General features: G+C 36.6%; 1 annotated feature.

Annotated features, from left to right (window-relative positions):
• Positions 1030-1530: an enhancer, noted in NCBI's record as "H3K27ac hESC enhancer chr4:117484471-117484971 (GRCh37/hg19 assembly coordinates)". NCBI's record gives its function as "activates a minimal SCP1, AML or CMV promoter by ChIP-STARR-seq in naive H9 embryonic stem cells {active_cell/tissue: H9 hESC(naive)}" and the evidence as "EXISTENCE:reporter gene assay evidence [ECO:0000049][PMID:30033119]".

The following is a 17733-nucleotide window of genomic DNA, read 5'->3' as shown; positions in this document are numbered from 1 at the left end:
TATTTACATTTAAGGTTAGTATTGTTATGTGTAGATTTGATCTTGTCATGATGTTGCTAGCTGGTTATTTTTCAGACTTTTTATGCGGTTGCTTCATAATGTCACTGGTCTGTGTTTTTGTAGTGGCTGGTAATGGTTTTTCCTTTCCATATTTACTGCTTCCTTCAGAAGCTATTTCAAGGCAGGTTTGGTGGTATTGAATTTCCTCAGCATTTGCTTGTCTAAAAAGGATCTTATTTCTCCTTTACTTATGAAGCTTAGTTTGGCCAGATATGAAATTCTGGGTTGAAAAATCTTTTCTTTAAGAATGTTGAAATGCCTCCAGTCTCTTCTGGCTTGTAGTGTTTCCCCTGAGAGGCCACCGTTAGCCTGATGAGCTTCCCTTTGCAGGTGTCCTGGCCTTTCTCTCTGGCTGCCCTTAGAGTTTCTTGCATTTTGACCTTGGAGAATTTGATGATTACATGTCTTAGGGATGATTTTATCATGAAGTATCTTACCAGTATTCTCTGCATTCCCTGAAATTGAATGTTGTTCTGGCTTGCTAGGTTGGGGAAGTTCTCCGTGACGATACCCTAAGTATGTTTTCCAACTTGGTTCCATTCTCCCCATCCCTTCCAGGTACTCCAATCAGTTGTAGATTCAGTCTTTTTACATAATCCCATATTTCTCAGAAGTTGTGTTCATTCTTTTTCATTATTTTTTTCTCTAATCTTGTCTGCCTCTTTTATTTCAGAAAGATACTATTTAAGCTTGTGATTCTTTCCTCTGTTTGGTCTATTCTGCTATTAACACTTGTGATTGCATTGTGAAGTTCTTGTAGTATTTTTTGTTTTGTTTTTGTTTCTTCATCTCTAACAAGGTAGTTGTGTTCCTCTCTAAACTGGCTATTTTGGCTTCAACTCCTGTATTGCTTTATAATTCTTAGCTTCTTTACACTGGTTTACAACGTGTTTCTTTAGCTCAGCGAAGTTCATTATTATCCACTTTCTGAAGCCTACTTCTGCCATTTCAGCCATCTCAGCCTTAGCCCAGTTTTGAGCCCTTTCTGTAAGGGTGTTTCAGTTTTGTAGGAAAAGGGGCACTCTGGCTTTTTGAGTTTTCAGCATTTTTATGTTTATTTTTTCTCATCTTTGGGCATATTTAACTTTAATCTTTGAGGCTGCTGACATTTGGTGAGTTTTTGTGGGGTCGTATTGGTGGTGGTTGTGCTTTCTGTCTGTTAGTTTGTCTTTCAACAGTCTGGCCACACTTCCACAGGGTGGCTGTAGTTTGCTCGGGGTCTGCTCCAGACCCTAGTTGCCTTGGTTTTTCTTGTACCTGGAGGTATCACCAGTGAAGGCTGTGAAAGCTGTGAAACAGCAAGGATGGCATCCTGCCCCTTCCTCTAGAAGCTCCATCCCAGGGGAGTACTGACCTATTGCAGGCCTGAAGGCACCTGTAGGAGGTGTCTGGAGAACCCAGTTATGAGGTATCACCCAGTCAGGAGGAACAGAATCAGGGAACTGCTTAAAGCAGCAGTCTGGCTGCGGTAGAGCAGCTGTGTTGTGTTGGGGATCCCTTTAGCCTTCAGTTGATTTGGGCTCTCCAAGACCCACAGGCTGGACCGGCTGAGAAACCTGAATGGCTAAGGCGGCAGCCTGCCTGGCCCATCAGTCACTCCGTCCCAGGGAGAAATTAGAGCTCTGTTGTCCCTGTAGAACATGGGTGGGGGTGGCTGAAGGCGCCGGCTGGGAGAACAGCCCCAAGAGGAAAAGTGGATCTGTGTCATGCTTAAAGAAACAGTCTGGACATGCCTGACAAAACAGTTGTGTCATGGTGGGGAACCTCCTCTGCCCCTGTCTGCTTGGACAGTCCAATGCTCACAGGCTGGAATGGCTGAGTGGTCCAATCAACCCAGGTGGCAGTCCTCCTGTCCCGCAGGCACTCCATCCCTTGGAGACATCAGAGCTCTGTCAGTAATATGTGAAGGTCGGGGCGCGTGGCTAGAGGGCCTGGCTGGGAGGTCCCACCCAGCAAAGCAAGTAAGTGAGGTAATAGCTATGTTAATTAGCTTGGTTAAATCTTTTCACATTTTATACTCTATTAAAATATTACATTGTGCTTCATAAATGTAATACAATTATGATTTGTTAATTAAAATAATATAAATAAAATAATAAAGTTTTATTGGTATAATGAATGAGATTTTAGAATGGCTTTACAACAGTCAAGGCTAATTTTTCTCAATCAATACATCTTCTCATTGCATACATATTCCAGCATTTTGAGGAGAATGTAGCTTCTGACTTTGTTTTATTCTATTTTCACTCTTACTTTGTCCTGAGTAACTTTAGTTTCCTCACAATTTCATAATATTTTTCTATGACAACAACTTTCACTTTATTTTTCTTTAGTACTCCATGCCTGAGGCTTCATTCAGGATTTATTATCTCCCTGAATGGAAATGCATTCTAAACCATTAATATGAAATTCCTCTATCTGATAACAAACACTTATCCCTGATAAATATATTTTTTATTCACTTCAGACTTTAAATTCCTCCATATATTTTTAAATTATCATTTGATTCTTGACTTTACATTTCTAACAAAATTCATCATCATGTCTAGCAATTTCAGCCCACACTCATCTTCAATTCCCTTCTTCTCCTGCTCTGTGATGCTTTCATTTAAACCCATTTCCAAACTGGATCTCTCTAATCAATAGCTTTTTCCCTCTCCTGAGCTTTGCTGGCAAAACTACATAACTCTGCCAGGCAGGGCAGATTTATGGTTTTCAATTTCTGTTGGGTCCTCCAAATTGCTTGGCAACTCCATTACTTGTCCACTCAAATGACTCTTTGTTTGATAGCAATGACCTATGAAATGGTGAGCAAGCTCTCCCCTTCACAGCATTGTGTACTTATTTCTAGTGTCTCAGAGGAGCTCTTCACTCATGCCCATTTGTGAACTTATAAACTTCAGTCTCCAAGCTGTGTTACTCAGGTATTACTCTTACTTCCCTGCACCTGCTTCTCTAGTTGCTAACAGGAAATTTACCACAGTCACTCACTATTCTGAAATGCTACCAGGAAAGTTTCTCTCAATGCTCTGAGGGCATTTCTTCCCTGGAGAGTCAGAATAATAAGAAGTTCTCTAATAAGCGAAAGGCTTCTTGCCAACCCGCTATCACATGTAGTTACTTGAATACCATATCTGGAAACTTATATAGTCTTCCTTATGGAATCCTGAGAGCCTGGAGCCTTCATTCCCTAATCTTAGCTGCTCAGATTTAACCCATAGTGCCACAAAGGAAACAGACACACCACCATCTTTCCCATATTTCTCTCCTTTTCCTCCCAGTTCTGTCCCCAGTCAAAATCTCTTATATACTACTAGGTATAAAAGAGAAAATATCTTGGATTTTAATAAAGGCAAAATACATATGGAATATGTAAAAAAGTATAAATAGAAGCATGTTGTCTAATCTATACCCGGAGTAATATTACATATCTGTTGTTATACTTATCTATATTAATCACCCTTTATCTTCCTTTTAATTTATAATATGTCTATAGAGCACGCTATCTAAACTTTCTGTTTTTATACCCATGGCTGTTCTGCATACTAAGCTGATACTATTGACTTTAGCCTCACATAAGAAAAAAATAATTATTCTATTCATTTATTTATTCAATAAACATTCCACCATTTATTCAAAATGCAATGAACTAGTAATTTTGAAAAATATATGTATATATTTATTTTTAAAGTAAAAATTAATTTTTATTTGTTGAATATATTAAAATTATGACAAATTCTGACTATATATTTTATGCTTAGTCATAGTTGCTTGCTCACAGGACAAAATATTCTGTTCAACAATCAAAAACAAAATAGAGAAAACATTATTGGAGATTTTAAAAGCTCAACATTAAATTCCAAAAATCATAGACTAGCAAAATTATGGAATGCTTACAGAACTGACGCCTTGCGAGCACTTAGAAAATGACGGTCACTAAATTCCAGCACACATTCACTAATAATAAATCATTGTGTATCTTTAGAAATTATCATTGAATGAGTAAATGAATGAATGAATATCTGGCCCAACCAAATATCTATTTTAATAGAATTTTAGACTAGTATATATAGAGAACAGCAAATTATAGTGCATTATGTTTGAGCAAGAGATTTGACGGACACTATCCTTTGACCCAGATGGAAAAATGGAAAGCAGATGATAACAGTTTCACACATATGCAGCTAATTTTCTGAATAGACCTAGAAAATATGTATTTCTTGGCAATAAAAACTTTAACTTCATCATGTCTTTATCTACCTGTGATGCACATAAATCTCTACACTTATAATAACCCTGAATCCATATTCAGTCTGCCTCAAATATTAGAATATTCGATAATTGGCCTTTTGGAGAAATCAGTTAATATACTTTGAGGAACAGGTGTATTATGCATACAATTGGAAAGCATACAATAAACTTTCTAATTCCTTTCAGTAGCTTTGTAAGCACTATATATAATGGCCAAAACAAACATCTATACATTTATAGCTATAAATTAGCTATAAAAATCAGAAATTTTGCTAACAGTAAAGTTTTGGGGTTTGGGTTTGTTTTTTCTTTTTGAGAAAGAGTGTCCTCTGTCTCCCAGGCTGAAGTGCAGTAGTGAGATTATGACTAACTGCAGCTTGGACCTCCTGGGCTCAAGGGATCTGCCCACCTCAGCCTTCTGAATAGCTGGGAGTACAGGTGTGCACAACCACCCCTGGATAATTTTTCTATTTTGAGTAGACACGGGGTTTTGCCACATTGCCCAGGCTGGTCTCGAACTCCTGGGCTCGAGTGATCTGCTTGCCTCGGCCTCCCAAAGTGCTGGAATTACAAGCGTGATCCACCGCAACCAGCCAAAGTTTATTTTAAATAAGGCTAATTTATCAAATTTAATTTTTTTTCATATTTAGCTGTTCCTTTGTAGTGGCTGTAGTATGTTTATCATTCAGTGTCAGTAGTGAAAGCATCTCTAGTAGTATAAGCATTCAATTTTCCAATTCTCATAATTGTTTTTAAATTTATTTATTTATTTATTTATTTATTTATCTTTATTATACTTTAGGTTCTGGGATACATGTGCAGAACGTGCAGGTTTGTTACATAGCTATACACATGACATAGTGGTTTGCTGTACCCATCAACCTGTCATCTACAATAGATGTTTCTCCTAATGCTATCCCTCCCCCAGCCCACCAGCCCCCAATAGGCCCCAGTCTGTGATATTCCCCTCCCTGTGTCCACGTGTTCTCATTGCTCAACTCCTACTTATGAGTGACAACATGCAGTGTTTTTTTTTTCTGTTCCTTTGTTAGTTTCCTGAGAATGATGGTTTCCAGCTTTATCCATGTCCCTGCAAATGACATAATCTCATCCTTTTTAATGGCTGCATAGTATTCCATGGTGTATATGTGCCACATTTTCTTTATCCAGTCTATCATTGATGGGCCATTGGGTTGGTTCCAAGGCTTTGCTATTGTGAAAAGTGCTGCAGTAAATATACGTGAGCATGTGTCATTATAGTAGAATGACTTACAATCCTTTGGTTATGTATATACTTAGTAATGGGATTGTTGGGTCAATTGGTATTTCTCGTTCTATATCCTTGAGGAATCATCACACTGTCTTCCACAATGGTTGAACTAATTTACACTCCCACCAAGAGTGTAAAACTGTTTTTATATCTCCACATCCTCTCCAGGATGTTTCCTGACTTTTTGAAGTTGTTTCATGACTTTTTAAAGTTTTTTCCTGACTTTTTAACGTTTCCTGACTTGAAAAAGTTGTTTCCTGACTTTTTAATGATCACCATTCTAACTGGCATGAGATGGTATCTCATTGTGGTTTTGATTTGCATTTCTCTAATGACCAGTGATGATGAGCTTTTTTTCAAATGTTTGTAGGCCGTATAAATGTCTTCCTTTGAGAAGTGTCTGTTCATATCCTTTGCCCACTTTTTGATAGGGTTGTGTGTTTTTTTTACTGTAAATTTGTTTAAGTTCTTTGTAGATTGTGGGTATTAGCCCTTTGGGTAAATAACAGAATTAAGGCAGAAATATATAAGTTCTTTGATACCAAAGAGAACAAAGACACAACATACCAGAATCTCTGAGACACAGCTAAAGCAGTATTTAGAGGGAAATTTATAGCACTGAATACCCACAGGAGAAAGGGGGGAAGATCTAAAATCAACACCCTAACATCACAGTTAAAAGAACTAGAGAAGCAAGAGCAATTTCAAAAGCAAGCAGAAGATAAGAAATAACTAAGATCAGAGCAGAATTGAAGGAGATAGAGACATGAAAAACCCTTTTAAAAAATCACTGAATCTAGGAGCTGGGAAAAGATTAACAAAATAGATAGACTGCTAGCCAGACTAATAAAGAAGAAAAGGAGAAGAATCAAATAAACACAATAAAAAATGATAAAGGGGATATCACCACTGATCCCACAGAAATACAAACTACTATCAGAGAATACTATAAACACCTCTAAGCAAATAAAGTAGAAAATCTAGAAGAAATGGATACATTTTTGGACACAAACACCCTCCCAAGACTAAACCAGGAAGAAGTTGAATCTCTGAATAGACCAATAAAAAGGTCTGAAATTGAGGCAGTAATTAATAGCCTACCAACCAAAAAAAAACCCAGGACTAGATGGATTTACAGCCGAATTCTACCAGAGGTACAAAAAGAAGCTGGTACCTTTCCTTCTGAAACTATTGCAAACAATAGAAAAAGAGGGAATCCTCCCTAACTTTTATGAGGCCAATGTCATCCTGATACCAAAACCTGGCAGAGACACAACAAAAAAAGAAAATTTCAGGCCAATATCCCTGATGAACATTGATGTGAAAATCCTCAATAAAATACTGGCAAACCAAATCCAGCAGTACATCAAAAAGCTTATCCACCATGATCAAGCTGGCTTCATCCCTGGGATACAAGGCTGGTTCAACATATGCAAATCAATAAACATAATCTATCACATAAACAGAACCAATGACAAAAACCACATGATTATTGCAATAGATGTAGAAAAGGCCTTTGATAAAATTCAACACCACTTCATGCTAAAAACTCTCAGTAAACTAGCTATTAATGGAATGTATCTCAAAATAACGAGAGCTATTTATGACAAACCCATAGCCAATATCACACTGAATGGGCAAAAGCTGGAAGCATTCCCTTTGGAAACTGGCACAAGACAAGGATGCCCTCTCTCACCATGTCTATTCAACATAGTATTGGAAGTTCTGGCCAGGGCAATCAGGCAAGAGAAAGAAATAAAGGGTATTCAAATAGAAAGGGAGGAAGTCAAATTGTCTCTGTTTGCAGATGACATGATTGTATATTTAGAAAACCCAATCATCTCAGCCCAAAATCTCCTTAAGCTGATAAGCAACTACAGCAAAGCCTCAGGATATGAAATATGTATTTTTGAGGCTCATTTTCTATATCCAAGAAACATGAGGTGGAAAAGCAAAGACATGTAATAATGAATACAGTTAAATGAAATTCTGAAAAATTTATGATAAAAGTCTCTGTAAAATATAAAGTTACAATGGCCGGGCACAGTGGCTCATGCCTGTAATCCCAGCACTTTGTGAGGCCAAGGCGGGCAGATCACCTGAGGTCAGGAGTTCGAGACCAGCCTGGCCAACATGGTGAAACCCCGTCTCTACTAAAAATACAAAAATTAGCTGGGTGTGGTGGCAGGTGCCTGTAATCCCAGCTACTCGGGAAGCTGAGGCAGGAGAATCGCTTGAACTCAGGAGGTAGAGGTTGCAGTGAGCCAAGATCCTGCCATTGCACTCCAGCCTGGGGGACAAAGTGAGACTTTGTCTCACAAAAAAAAAAAAAAAAAAATATATATATATATATGTGTGTGTGTGTGTGTGTGTGTGTGTGTGTGTGTGTGTGTGTGTGTGTATGTGTGTGTGTGTGTATGTATAAAGTTACAATGAATGAAGGAAGCAATTTTCTTTGGAATATAAAACAAAGGCTTTCTTCTTACTAAATTATGTTAGTAGGATATGATTGTATAAGAAGGTTATCTCTCCCACATAACATTATCATAAGCATCAAAAGTAATAATACTCATAGAATCACATTGTCAAATGAGAAAAAGTAAATACATATTTTTAACATACAGATGTGTATATGAATATATATGTGAGTTTGTCTGTTATAAGAAGGAAACTTACTCTTGGCCTCCTTTTTATTGAAAAACATGTATTGTGTGTCCATTTGTTGAACTTTGATAGTAATTCTGTGAGTGAAGATCTCTTCTAAATTTTGCCATACCCTCATTTTGGTATTCTGCTAAGCTTTTGCTTTCTTCTTCTTCTTGACATCACATTAAAAAATTTCTCATAAATACTCACAGAACAATTGTTTATGTACAAAATGCTATTCTATAAATTACAATTGGGTAGGCTGAAGGGGATTATATGGGTGAATAAGGCTGGGTCTTTGCCCTCAAACTGATTATGGTAGAGGCTAAAAAAATAACTGAATATAATAAAGATCAGCCTCAGTTTTCAAAAATGGTGCATTGCTGTTTTTCTGTCTCCTTATAATTTTAAACATTAATTTTAAGATATTATCATCCAAAAGATAAAGACCTTTCTCTCTTTGGGGAAAGTATTTAAGGCTGCATGCAAATACAAGTTCTTAAAACCCATTACAGTGGTATGATCTTAACAGAGAGAAGTCAGTTCTAGATGTTTTATTTATGTTAACATGCTAGATTGATAGCAATATTGAGTCCTATCAGTACAAGCAGCCTTAAATATGAGTAAACAAAGTTTTATCATTAGATAGATGAAGTCGTTAACTTCGGAAAAAGGACTTTTTGGTTTTACAGTTTTCTGGATTTGGTTGGGTTGTTCTGGATATTGTGGCAGCCCTACTTTAAAAGATACATTACACAGGTAGCATGTATTGAAAAGGGTTCTAATATACAGGGTTGATTTCATGTTTGTGTCCAAGTGTATCATTTTGGGTTGCTCAGAATAACAGAGCCATCTTAAGTATTATCGGAATAAACAGGTTAAATACAGAAATTAGGGCTTATACAATATTTGGAAAAGTGATGAAAGTGAAGGTCGGTAGGGAAGGCTGCAGCTGTTAAGTCAGTTGAAAAGTCACTGGAGCAGCCAGGTGCCCTGTAGCAAGTGTAGGTGACCCTTGAACAATGCAAGAGTTGGAAGTGCCAAACTCTATGCAAATAAAAATCTGCATATAACTTTTTACTCCCCCAAAATGTAACTATTAATAGCCTACTGCTGACTGGAAGTCTTACCAATAACAGAAACTGTCGATTAACACATATGTTGTTTATGTATTATATACTGTACTCTTACAATACAGTAAGTTAGAGAAAAGTAAATGTTACTAAGAAAATTATGAGGAAGAGAAAATACATTTACTATTTATTAAGTGGAAGTGGATCATCAAAAAGCCCTCCGTTCTTGTCATTTTAATGTTAAGTAGGCTGAGGAAGAGGAGGAAGAGAAGGAGTTGGTCTTGCCATCTCATGAGTGGCAGAGGGGAAAGATAATCTGAGTGTAAGTCGATACATCCAGTTCATCCTGTATTGTTCAAGGGCCAACTGTAGTTCTAAAACTGTTGCCAGGAAATTGCCTTGGAAAGGATAACAATCAACTGTCTCAGCCTGTAGCAGTAAAGCTAGAGATTGCCGGAATGCTCAGTTGCGGTATCTGCTTCCCACAGCCTCTTGAGTGAATATCTTCTTTCCAAATTTTGTGAGAGATATTGTAATGTACAAATTTTAATTCAGATCCATATAGGAAACTGCTAAAGCTGCTGTTGATTATTGGTAATTCAGCACAGAAGAGATGATGCACTTTAAGCAGGACTTGATTCTTTTCCTCAAAAACAATGAAATTAATATTATAGAAAGAAAATAATTGAATCATATTTTTGAAATATGCTGATGGAGGGATAGTTTTCCGGTGACACTGCAAAGATCTTAGCCCTTAACTTTCTACCAACCTTCTTGCTAAACTCCAGTTGGGTAACTAAAGGCTACTTACTTATTCAGCAAATATTCAATTATTCTTTATAGGCTAAATTACAGTCTCAGTCTTGATCATGATCCTTCTAGTACTGTAATTAACACAACCTTGGTTTCTCCCATGTGTTTCAAGAATTTTAAGGGTGAACAATATTCGGAATAAAATCAAACTTTGACTGCCCTTCCCCAATCTATCATATAAAATGTTTCAGCTTTGTACTCACCATAAAGAAGTCTTTTTGAGCATTCCTCAAACTGCAAAATATAACAAAAGTTTGAGCTAAGGCTTTGGTTGTGTTTTTCCTTTCACAACTCTGACTTTAGCATAGATTCTCATACTATATTAACTAATTTGAAATTGAAGAGATAATTCAGAAGTCAGTTTTCTTAATATTTCCAAACAAAATGTAATACTGAAAAATGGTTTACTTAAAAATTCTATTAATCTACCAAAAGTAATTTAATCAATTTGGCACTTATAAATTAAGTAAATGATTTATTTAATTAGGTAGATAACACAGTGACATTGCAGATGATTTTACCTGTCATTAAATATGTTATATTAAGAATTGACAGGGCCTGCAGGCAAGATTGCCAACTAGATGAAGTTAGGAGGAACATCTGCCACTGAGGGACGGAAGCACTGGAAAGACTGGTGCACTCCAAGGAGATCTTCTGATTGAGGACGTTGAGAGTGGCCAGAGGGAGGATATAAGGGCTGGGCTGAAGTAGGAGAAGCTGGAAACCCTGCATAAATCTATCACACATTGGGACCCATTCCTGGTCTCCAATGACTCCTGGGTAAGGGATGAGTCGAGCAGGTGAAGAGCGACCAACTCTCACCACAGACCTTAGAAATCCTGACAGCAGGGGGGCCCATGACCCCCATGGATGCTTAAGCTGACAGGGAGAGCTATTTAGAGGGGTGGTAGGGGCAGGACTCCAGCATATACAGAGCCCAGAGGGTTTAGTATGGAAATGTCTGCAGGTGAGTAAGGTTAGAGACACCCATCCCTCAAGGCTTCTCCCTCTCTCGTAGGAGACTCCAGCCTTAGGGGAAATGTTGGATTTGAACAGAGCAGGGCAATCTTTCCCATGAAATAATTACAGTCTGATCTGAAGGCTCTTTTGTCTGCTTGCCTCTCCTGAGGCTCCAGCCTGGCTCTTCCTGCTTTCAGTGGTGCCTTGGATGCCCAACTAGAATGCCGCCTGGGGATCTCCATTATAGCTCCTATGCTGGCAGGCCATGCCTGACCATTGGAGAACTCCAGCAGAGTGGCCCCTGCCAAAACATACAAACCCACCTTTGCCCTCCCCACACCACAGCCTCCCTTGTGCCACTTTGCTGGCACATACTCACCCGTGGCCAATCCTTCATCACTTTGTTGGCGTGCTATGCATGGGTGGATTATGCCTCTCCTTCTGGTGTAAGGGTGGGCATACACCGTGCCCTGACATTGCTGTTGGCATGAGCACACTCATTGCCCCAACATGGCACCACCATACTGCCATTGCTGGCACTAACATGTACAGGGATGCCAGTGTCTCTGCCCCCCACCCTGCACCATGATTGCTGCTGGCATGAATGATCATGCACCTTGCTGTGCTGCCACTGCCGTTGGCACAAGAAAACGAGCACATGAGCATGGATCCCACTGCCATTGCCTGAAAAACTGCTTTGGCTGGCACTACCCTTCAGAGTGTTATGAGCAGTGTTATGGGAAGACCTTGGCCTTTCCAGTACAACAGCACCTTGAGGGGTGAAAGAACAAAGCCAGGGGCCTGATACCAGCCCCCTAGAGTTACAGCACACAGCCAAGGAGTACTAAGCTAAGCCAAGGAGTACAAAAATCTACCAGAAACAAAGCCAGTCAACTAAAACCACCTTATACCAAATCAAGTTCCCAAGAACATCAAAGAAAATAAAAACAAAATATAAAAACCCATCCAAAGACAGCAGCTTTAAAGACTGAAGGAATATCAACCCACACAGATGAGAAAAAAAACAGCAGGGGAACTCTAACAACTCAAAAAGCCAGAGTGTCTTCTTAACTCCAAATGATCTCACTAGTTCCCCAGCAATGGTTCTTAACCAGGCTGAAATGGCTGAAATAACAAAAATAGAATTCAGATTATGAATAGGTCCCATATTTCTTGATTGTTTTGCTCATTCTTCTTTATGATTTTTTATTTTTTTCTAAGTTGTTTTGGACAGCCAGTTTTCAAACTCTGAGATTCTTCCCTCAGTTTGGTAGATTCTGCTGTTAACACTTGTGATTGTATTCTGAAAATTTTGAAGTTAGTTGATTAGCTCTTTCAGCTGAGTTTGGTTCTTTCTTAAAATGGCCATTTTTTTCTTTCCTCCCCTGTATTGTTGTATTGTATTCCTTAGAATTCTTGGATTGTGTTTTGACTTACTCCTGAATTTCAAGAACATCATTCTCAGGACACATAATCATCAGATTCTTCTAGGTCAAAATGAAATTAAAAATGTTAAAGCAGCTAGAGAGAAGGTGCGAGTCACCTACAAAGGGAACCCTATCAAGCTAACAGTGGAGCTTTCAGCAGAAACCCTACAAGCCACACAGATAACTCAGGTAGAAATCTAACAAATATATACAGGACCTGAACTCAACACTTCAACAAATGAACCTAATAGACATCTAAAGAACACTCCGCCAAAAAACAACAGAACAAGCTTCTTATCTGCACATAGCACACACTCTAAAATTGAACACACAGTTGGCTATAAATCAATCCTCTGAAAATTCAAAATAAACAAAATCATACCAAACACAGTTGGACTACAGTACAATAAAAAAAAAGCCAAGACTAAAAATGTCAACTCAAAAGCATGTAATTACATGGAAATTAAACAAACTGCTCCTGAATGACTTTTGGATAAATAATGAAATTAAGGCAGAAATCAAGAAGTTCTTTGGAACTACTGAGAACAAAGATACAATGCACCACAATCTCTGGGATATGGCTAAGACAGTGTTAAGATGGGAGTTTATAGCACTAAATACCCACATCAAGAAGTTATAAAGATCTCAAATTAACAACTTAACATCACAACTAGAGGAACTAGGGAAACAAGAGCAAACTAACCCCAGAGATAGCAGAAGACAAGAAATGGCCAAAACCAAAGATGAATTGAAGGAAATTGGGACACAAAAAAAACTATAGAAAAGACCAACAAAACTAGGAATTGTTTTTATTTTTCAAAAAAATTTAGCAAGATATGTAGATCACTAGCTCAACTAATAAAGAAGAGATAGATGATCCAAATAAACACAAATGACAAAGAGAGTTTTACCGCTGACCCCACAGAAATACAAAACCCACAGAGACTACTAGGAACACCCTTATGTACACAAGCTAGAAAAACTACAAGAGATGGCTAAATTCCTGGAAACATATACTCTCCCAAGACTGAATCAGAAAGAAATTAAATACCTTAACAGACTAACGACAAGTTTGAAAATTAAATCAGTAATAAAAAGCCTGCTAATCAAAAAATAGCCTGGGACCAGATGGATTCACACCAAAATTCTACTAAATATATAAAGAATGGTAAGTCCCACTCCTCCAGTCCCTAGGAGGTACTCCTCCCTAACTCATTTTATGAAGGCAGCATCATCCTGACACCAAAACCTGGCATACATGCAATTAAAAAAAAAGACTTCAGGCCAATATCCTTGATGAACATAGATGCAAAAATCCTCAACAAAATATTAGTAAGCCAAATCCAGCAGCACATCAAAAAGTTAATTCACCAAGATCAAGTAGTCTTTATTTCTCTGACGCAAGGCTGGTTCAACACACACAAATCTACAAATATGATTCATCACTTAAACAGAACTAAAAACAAAAGCCACGTGATTATCTCAATAGATGCAGATAAGGCCTTCAATAAAATGCAACATCCCTTCATGTTAAAAACCCTCAAAAACTGTGCACAAAAAGAACATACTTAAAAATAATAAGAGCTATCTAAGACAAACTCACAGCCAACATTTTACTGAATGGGCAAAAGATAGAAGCATTTCCATTGAAAACTGGAAAAAGACAAGGTTAACTTCTCACATTACTCCTGTTCAACATAGGACTACAAATCCTGGCCAGAAAAAAATAAGGCAAGAGATAGAAGTAAACAGCATCCAAATAGTAAGAGAAGATCTAAAACTATCCCTATTTTCAGATAATATGATTCCATATCTAAATAACTCTATAGTCTCTGCCCAAAAGCTCCATGATCTGATAAACAGGGATTCTTTATTTATAGTAATTTACTTTGTTTTAATTAATCAACATTATTTACTGTACTCCTGATGTAAGTCCAATATCCTAAAGTAGTGACTGCATTATTCTTAACCCCGTCAAAATTCATGGAGTTAGAGCAATAATCTACATCTTACAAAAACTCCGCCTTCTGGACATTAGGCGTGTTTTTACCTCAAGAAAGATAACATCAATTTTGTAACAGCCTCTGAATGTGTGGGCACGAGTGTGTATGTGTGTCTTGTGTGTGCTTGTATGTATGAACTTGTGATAAAATTATTGTAAAATTAAATGTCACATTCACTGCCTAGTGGCAGTGTTGGTGGCCAGTTGTTCCCATGTTATCCACTGTGGCATGTTAATCTGACTGTTTCTTGTATTATAACTTTGGTTTCAATGTTTATCTCAGAAGAGATTTTGAATAGAAAGCCTTTTTTAAAAAATATTATTTATTTCAGAAAGTATACTAACAACTTCAGGGAACATTGTTAGTTCCCAAAGAACTCCCGAAGAAACAAAAACTGATTTACTGAAATATAAGCTGCTTAAGTCTTTCTATTTTCTTCTCCATATGTTCTAATAATAAATTTCATAGACTAAAGATTAATACAGTATGTGTGAAGTAGAATTATGCTAAATTATGTGTATCTGAAGACATTGTTTAAATGTCTAATTAACAATCATCCTTTAACTCTCTTTTATAATATATTTTAATCACAGAAATGAATAATTATTTTAACAAATATAAATATATAGGACATTTGTAATTTAATGAATATTTTCCTTAACTGTGAGGATGTAGCAGTGAGCAAAACAGTCAATAAAATGCATAATTTAAGAGGATCACATACTAGCATGAGTCAATGGAAAAATATAGAATAAAATAGATATTATGTATAGGATGATTACTACTGTGGAGAAATAAGAAAAGTAAGCAAGGTAGACAGTGCTAAAGACTGGAAGTGGAGTTGAAGTTTATAAGCTGAGGTGATCAGAGAAAAATTCAGAGAAGGTGATATTTGAAAATCAACATGAGGAGATAAGGGAACAAAATATGCATGTATTTGGGGGGAAATCCCAGGCAGAAGGAATGACAAGGGCAACAGTCCTGGTGTAGGCAGGTGCTTGGTGTGTTCACAGACATTGAGAAAGTTGATCATGCAGATTCAGAGGGAGTGCATGACTTTCTTCTCTCATTCCAAGGATAGCAAATTGCAGCTCTCATAGACTTAAGAGAGAACAACACAGTTGTTCACTTTAAATAAAGGTATACTTAAAACAAAGGTTTCTTATTGCTGACATACTTGTAAGTTGTAATGTTTTCCGTGAAATGCAATGAGTATATTATTTTTGGTTAATTGATCTTGATTGCTCACAAAGCTAGTTATTTAACAAAATAAATACAAAGGATATTACTTTTTAAAATTTTCCAATAAGTCATTTTATGCTTTTCTGAAACATCTATTAAATATAGTTATTTCATAAAATATATTTTCTTACCATATAAAATACATGTAAAAGTGCTCAATACCATGATATGAATTTATGTAATGTATACAATATGAAAAACATAATATAGAAGTGTTTTTAAAGTAACTACTTTGGTTAGACATATATATTTTGAAATTCTGTCTAAGTGGGTAATTTGTGTATCCAATTCAATCTGTAGAAAAGCTGTATAGAATCTACATTATAATGCTTCAAGGCTATGCATACATTGTGCTCTCCCGGCTTCATCATCTTCAATGGAGTCAATGCAAATCTTTTAAGTTCTTCTGAAATTATTTGAAAACCTTAGTTTGGAGAAGAATTGTTTTTAAGTGTAAAGACTATTGATCACACAATTTTGCTTTTGATATTTTAAACATATGATTTATAAAGTTTTCTACACACATTAGTGAAAATTTTTTCAGCTAAATTATATTTTATTTTTCCTATTCTTATTTCAGGATGAGATCTCTTAGGATGACAGGGTAGAAAGATTCTTTCACAAAGATTCTCCTTAGTTTTAATGCTTTTCTTAAACTGTCTCTAGCAATGCTGATTATTGTTTGGTGGTTGTTGCTTTTGTTGCAGGCTATTTTATCCGCATGAATCTTCATCCATAGAAATGTCTTACCACTTTATCTTCAGTCATTGTCTATCTGTATGGTGATTACTCCCTAAAAAGCATCTTTAGCTGATATCTTTCTCCCCATCTCAAGACATATATAAACAATTGCTATCAGTTACCTGTATTTTAATAGCTCAAGGCCATCTCACATTTAATATATGTAAAACTCAATTTATTTTTCCCCACAAACCTCTCCTCCCATGTTTTCTATTTTAGAGAAAGGTGCCAATAGTTCCAACATAGCTGAAGCAGAAAGGTGAGTGATGTAAATGTTTAACACACTTTCTCTCCAACTAACATTTGTAAAAAGACCAAGTCCTATTAAGACAATCCTGTCACTAGTCTCCGAAAACTGTTTCTTCCATTCTCGCTGTTACTACTTTAGTACAGAAAATCATATGCTCTTGTGGAGTTTTATAAAACAGTTTGCTGTTTGACCAATTTTTGTCTGATCCTCACCACACCATTCTCCAAAATATAGCCAATAATATTTTCTTAAATGCAAATTTGATGACATCATTATTTTTCAAAAAAGTTTCCTATACCCTCTCTTCTGTCAGGAAGACTCTCTTCCACTGTTTACATTATCCAATCCTTCCTTGTTCTCTAGTTCACAGCATAGACATCTGTTCTTTGAAGACTCACTTACACCAAGCATGCCTGGTTTAGTTTCCCCAATCACATCAATTATTTGTATGTTTATTCCCTAATAATTAGTATACTTCTCCACCAGGCTATAAACAGTGAGAAAAGGAATTGTTTTTTAAACTTTATGTGCAAGACTGAGCACAGCGATGGACACAGCAAGTACTCGATATTTGCTAAGTTGAATTACTTTTTATAGCAGTCATAGTTGATGAATATATGATTTGAGTTCTATTTTGAAAAAGGCAACATAGAAGTTGCTATAGAAATGTTAGATATATAGTGAAGTGTTAAATTGCTGCCTTCAAGTAGTTTATGGTCTAATATTGACCATACACGGTATAAATTTATCAAGGATAATGAACAATAAGCCATCTACTTACTGCCAAATAAAAAATACTGAAAATCATTTAAAAAAAATTAAGCACAAACCATAGTACTAGTGCCTCTCTAAAAATGCCTCTCTTTTCAAACCCCAATTTAGTTCTTTTTTTTTTTTTTGGTCTGTAAATAGTATATTTTCATAATAAATGAGAATCAAACTTATCCAATTTGAAAATCAAGCATTTTGCAAATTAACATATCTATTTACATTCAGT

Source organism: Homo sapiens, chromosome 4, assembly GCF_000001405.40.
Source record: "Homo sapiens chromosome 4, GRCh38.p14 Primary Assembly".
Taxonomy (NCBI): domain Eukaryota; kingdom Metazoa; phylum Chordata; class Mammalia; order Primates; family Hominidae; genus Homo; species Homo sapiens.
This window is presented reverse-complemented; position numbering and strand designations above follow the sequence as displayed.